General features: G+C 43.6%; 1 protein-coding gene across 2 annotated transcripts in view, besides 1 other annotated feature; it reads left to right on the top strand.

Annotated features, from left to right (window-relative positions):
• Positions 303 to 372: a silencer, noted in NCBI's record as "silent region_10458". NCBI's record gives its function as "represses an Ori minimal core promoter by ATAC-STARR-seq in GM12878 lymphoblastoid cells {active_cell/tissue: GM12878}" and the evidence as "EXISTENCE:reporter gene assay evidence [ECO:0000049][PMID:35858748]".
• The window catches only part of ZNF626 (zinc finger protein 626), a 41,633-nt gene continuing 36,129 nt past the window's right edge, over positions 497 to 6,000 (top strand). For both annotated transcript variants that reach the window (NM_001076675.3, NM_145297.4), the window contains exon 1: positions 497 to 624. In NM_001076675.3, coding sequence (NP_001070143.1) covers positions 622 to 624 — 3 coding nt within the window. In that variant the 5' untranslated portion in view covers positions 497 to 621. The remainder of the gene's footprint in view (positions 625 to 6,000) is intronic.

Here is a 6,000-nt window from a genome sequence, read left to right as displayed (position 1 = left end):
TAAAATATAAAAAGTTAAAAAATTACATTAGATTACAAAATATGTATGTAAATCTCGAGAGGTCAAAAATGACAAATTTGATTTTTTATAAGGTTTTATCAAAATTACCTTTAGTATTGATAATACATTATTGCCAAAGTAAAAGTTGATTTTCTCTTGAACAAAAATTTTATGTATTATTAATATGAGAGCAAAATACTTCTGTTCACCTTTTGAATACATTCAAAAAGAGAGAGAGTAAAGAAAAGATAGAATTCTCCCATGCTCTGGGGTGGGCCTGGCTCAGCTCAGGAAGGAAGCCCTGCCTGAAAAGGCTGCAGCTTAGGCTGTCACTCTTTCTTCACTCAGCTCAGCGTCTGATCACATCTACTGTCACTCAGGGCCTCAGGGGGCGGGGCCTTAAGCATTATCCAATCAGGGATGGTGGGCTGGAAACCATCCAATCAGGAACGCAGCTGGAGCGAAGAGGACGGTTTCCGGGTTTGGTGCGGCCTTTGTCTCTCGCTGCAGTCAGAGCTCCAGGTCTGGTTCTTCTCCTAAAGGCCCAGGCTGTGTGGCCCCGTGTCCTGCAGGTATTGGGAGATCCACAGCTAAGACACCGGGACCTCCTGGAAGCCAAAAATGGTGAGAGTGAGGGTCCGACATCCCGAGAGAGGAGAGGGACTGGTTGGAACCGGTGAAAAGTGGCTGTGGCGGGACTCAGGCCTCCCCGCAGTCAGCTCCACAGTCTGCTCCCCCAGTTCTCCTTGCTCAGCTCGGCCTCAGTCCTGTTCAGCCATAAAATGGCAGCTGCGCTGACAGCCGGCACCCGGGCGTCTTGTCTCTTCACTGCGCGGTGACTACCCTGGCCTGGAGCCCTCTCTGGGCAGCTCTGCACCCGCAGCGTGGCGTCTCTCCCAGATTGTGCAGGGACCAGGGGAGGGTGGGCAGGGGAGAATCCTGACTCGGGGTGCGGGTTCATGAATGGGAAGAGCTTTGTTCCTTTGGGTTTACAGTTTCTCTTTTCTCCTATTAAAAATGTATGGGGCCGGACGCTGTGGCTCACGCCTGTAATCCCAACGTTTTGGGAGGCCGAGGCGGGCGGATCACTTGAGGTAAAGAGGTGTTAGGACAACTAAGTTCCTTTTAAATGACTCAACTTTCTGGTCATAAGTTGTAAAAGTTGTAAATCAACCCTACCTCTTCTTCTACCCCCTTTTCCTTTTCTCGCAAATCGCGCATTTACTTTATTTGGAAAAAGTTTGGGTCTAAGCTTACCAGGATCAGCTTAGATTGTGCGGTCTGATCCCAGCCAATAGGGGATGGAAACAAAAACAGGAACTGCATTAGGGTTCAAAACCCCTTTCTTGCTGGGCGCGGTGGCTCAAGCCTGTAATCCCAGCACTTCGGAGGCCGAGGCAGGTGGATCACGTGGTCAGGAGTTCTAGACCAGCCTGGCCAACGTGGTGAAACCCGTCTCTACTAAAAATACGAAAACTATCGGCGTGTTGGCACGTGCCTGTAGTACCAGCCACTTGGGAGGCTGAGGCACGAGAATTGCTTGAACCCGGGAGGCGGAAGTTGCAGTGAGCTGAGATCCAATCATCGCGCTCCAGCCTGCGTGACAAAGCGAGACTCCGGCTCAAAAAAAAGAAAAAAAAAGTAAGCATCTTAAAAATTCCTTTATGTAAACATTGTGAGTAATTTCACTGGAGTTTCTAACACTTAGTTTCAAAAACCAAGTGAATAACTGATGTGGACATTAAAGCTTGAACCTAGTGACTCCAAGCTAAGGCTAATATTAAGCCTGCAACAGGGTATTTTTTTTTTTTTTTTTTTTTTTTTAGACACAGTGTCGCTTGTGGTGCCCAGGCTGGAATGTAATGGCGTGATCTCGGCTTACTGGGTTCAAGCGATTCTCCTACCTCAGCCCCACCAGTAGCTGGGATTACAGGCATGCACCATCACGCCCGGCTAATTTTGGTGTTTAGTAGAGACGGGTTTTCTCCATGTTTGTCAGGCTGGTCTTGAACTCTCTGCCTCAGACCCGCTTCGGCCTCCCAAAGTGCTGGCATTATCGGTGTGAGCCACCGCACCCGGCCAACAGGAGGTTATTAAAGGCCCTGTTATTTTTTTCTGGGGAGTCTCCCTTGCGGATATCTCAAGACTGCTCACCCCAGCCACGGAAGGAGCCTTCATTCTGAAAGAAGCTACAAAGCCTTGGAAAGCTGGGGCCCCACAGGCAGATGCAGTCAAGATTAAGATGAAAGGAAACTGGGAGGGTCTTACTGGTAATGAAGTTGTTATGGTTTTGAGGCACTTTTTACGCTTTCTAAAATAAGAATATTAGATTTATGTAAAAAAAAAATGAATTCCTAAGAAGTATTGCAACAGGAAGAAGTACCAGCTAACTAAAAAATCTTCATGGGTTGCAAAAATGTAGGCAGAAAAGGGCTTTTCTCCTACATTGGAGATGGCTTATCTCCATCCCTCACTAGCCTGAGGGATGGAGATAAACTTAAGTAAAGTTTGATTAAGAAATATTTTAGGCTGAGCGCCATGGCTCAGGCATGTAATCCCAGCAGTTTGGGAGGCCTAGGCGGACGGATCACCGCAAGTCAGGAGCTTGAGACCAGCCTGGTCAACATGGTGATAACCCTGTGTCTACTAAAAATACAAAAATTAGCTGGTAGTTGTGGTGGCCACCTGTAATGCCAGCTACTTGGGAGGCTGAGGCAGGAGAATTGCTTGAACCATGGAGACAGAGGTTGCAGTGAGCTGAGACGGTGCCAAGGCACTCCAGCCTGGGTGGCCGAGCGAGACTCCATCTCAAAAAAAAAAAATTATTTTGACCACTGAAGACAAATTCAGCTGAATTTCTTAATGAGAAAAAGGAGAAAATGTACAGAGTGTGTGTCTGGCTGTGTGATAGGTAAGAAAAGAGAGCACCATCTAAGTCATAATGAGAAAGGCGTTTCTTTCCGTATACTGTTCCTGGAGCACACAAAAGGTGGAGAATTTTATTAATCACAAATATTTTCCAGGATTTTCTATGTGTTTCATCTTTCCCCATCTCTTTGTTCTATGCATTTCTTCCATTTGGCTTTTCCTGGGCTGCATCTTTTATATGAAACCGGTAAACATAACTACAATGTTTTGCTGAGTTCTGTAAGTAGCTGTACCAAATTATTGAACTTCAGGGAGGTTTTGGGAGTCCTCAGTTTTCAAACAGTAGCTCAGAAGCATAGATGGGCCTATGGGGTTTTTGATTGGCCTCTGCAGTGAGGACAATGTTGTGGGACCCAGCCCTGGATCAGGGTCTGTGCTGTCTCTAGGTGGTGTCAGAATTCAATTATTAGGCAATGAGTTGGTGTTGGAGAATTGTTTGATATTCAGCAAACTCTATAGATTTGGTGCCAGAAAAAAGATATCACTGGGGCCAGACCTGGAACAAAGCTCTGGGTATTTGAAAATGGGAGGCTCTGCTCTCCTGTACACAGGCTGTCACACTGCCTGTTGTCCTGTGATTTAAGGTCTTCTTCCAGGGTGACAGAAGACTGAAAACTTAGAGGAAAGAGTTCTGATGACAGACCCTGTTTTCTTGTAGCTGCCACCACAGGATTCCCACCCACTCCTAAACACACACAGTAGACATTGACATGTCCTCACTCCTCCCAGTACTGGGCACCACCCTCAGGAACTTCACCATGGCATTTTTGATCCTAGCGTTTCTTGCCAAGAACCCAAAAGTCTCTACAGGTCTCCTGGCATATCCCCACCCCTAGATACAGAATCTGCCGCACCAACCTGTTTTTTCCACCAACCTAAGGTTCTGGACCTCCCGGTTATAATCTCATCTGTCTGCATGCAAACAAAGATAAATCAGAAAACAGCCCCACCTGGGCCACTATCTGTAATGAAAATCAGTCCATTCACCTACATTGCACTCTCTCCCACGCAGGGATTTTTTTTTTTTCTTTTTTTAGCTTTGATTTTTGGTTGGGTGTACACATGTGGGTTTGTTATACAACTAAAATTACGTCATGGGGGTTTGAAGTGCAGATTATTTTGTCACTGAGGTACTAAGCATACCACCGAACAGGTATGTTTTCTGATCCTCTTACTGCTCCCACCCTCCCCCCTCAACTAGGCCTCAGTGTCTGTTCTGTTTGTGTTCATGTGTTCTTATTACTTAGCTCTTACTTATAAATAATAACATGCATTTGGTTTTCTGTTTCTGCATTAATTTTCTTTTTTTTGTTTGTTTTTTGTTTTGTTTTTTTGAGATGGATTTTTGTTCTTGTTGCCCAGGCTGGAGTGCAATTGTGCCACCTCGGCTCACCGCAACCTTCGCCTCCTGGATTCAAGCAATTCTCCTGCCTCAGCCTCCTATGTAGCTGGGATTAGAGTCGCATGCCACCACACCTAGCTAATTTTGTATTTTTAGTAGAGAGGGGTTTCTCCATGTTGGTCAGGCTGGTCTTAAACTCCTGAACTCAGGTGATTATCCCACCTCGGCCTCCCAAAGTACTGGGATTACAGGCGTGAGCCACCATGCCTGGACTCCGCATTAGTTTTCTAAGAATAATTGTCTCCAGCTTCATCAGTGTTATTGCAAAGGACATGGTCATTTTTTTTTAATGGCCACAGAGTATTCCATGATGTTTATGTACCATATTTTGTATTTACTAAATCTTTTATTTTATTTTATTTTTGGAGATAGGCTTATTGCCCAGGCTAGAGTGCCATAGCATGATTTTGGCGTACTTTAGCTTCCATCTTTCAGGCTCAAGCAGTTCTCTCCTACCTCATCCTCCCAAGTAGCTGGGACTACACACGTATGCATTACCATGCCTGGCCAATTTTTCATTTTGTATTTTCTGTGGAGACAGGATTTTGCCATGTTGACCAGGCTGGTCTCAAACTTCTAAGCTCAGGCAATCCACCTGCCTCGGCCTCCCAAAATGCTGGGATTACAGACATGAGCCACCGCATCTGACCATACCATATTTTCTTTATCTTGTCTACCAGTGATAGGCATTCAGGGCCTGTCTACGTCTTTGCTATTGTGAATAGTGCTGCAATGAACATGCATGTGAATATGTCTTTATAATATAATAATTTATATTTCTTTGGCTATATACCCAATTATGAGATTCCTGGGTCAAATTGATAATTCTGTTTTTAGTTCTGTGAGGAATCACCACACTGCTTTTTACTGTTGTTGAACTAATTTACACTCCCACCAGAAGAGTATAAGCATTCCCTTTTCTCTGCAACCTTGCCAGCATCTGTTATTTTTTGACTTATGAAAAACAGCCATTCTGATGGGTGTGAGGTGGTATCTCATTGTGGTTTTTCTTTTAATTTCTCTAATGACTAGCGATGACCTTTTTTTTTTTTTTAATAATGCTTGTTAGCCACATGTATGTCTTCTTTTGACAAGCATCTGTTCGTGTTATTTGCCTACTTTTTAATGAGATGTTTGCCTTTTTCTTGTAAACTTGTTTAAATTCTTAATAAATTCTGTATGTTAGACCTTTGTCATAGACAACGTTTGCAAATATTTTCTTTTATTCTGTAGGTTGTTTGTTTGAGCTATTTATAGTTTCCTTTGCTGTGAAGAAGCTCTTTAGTTTAAATAGGTCCAATTTGTCAGTTTTTGCTTTTGTTGCAATTGCTTTTGGTAGCTTCATCATGAAGTCTTTGCCAGTGTCTATATCTAGAATGTTATTCTCTATGTTATCTTGCAGAGTTTCTTATAATTTTAAGTTTTTCATTTAAGTCTTTAATTTATCTTGAGTTGATTTTTGTATATGGTGTAATGAAGGGGTCCAGTTTCAGTCTTCTACATAGTGCTAGGTAGTTATTCCTGCACCATTTATTAAAGAGAGAATTCTTCCCATATTCCTCTTGTCAGCTTTGTCAAAAATCTGATGAGTGTAGGAGGGTGACATTATTTCTGGGCTCTCTATTCTGTTGTGTTGGTCTTGTGCACTTACGGATTTCATATATCTTTCT

Source organism: Homo sapiens, chromosome 19, assembly GCF_000001405.40.
Source record: "Homo sapiens chromosome 19, GRCh38.p14 Primary Assembly".
NCBI lineage: Eukaryota > Metazoa > Chordata > Mammalia > Primates > Hominidae > Homo > Homo sapiens.
This window is presented reverse-complemented; position numbering and strand designations above follow the sequence as displayed.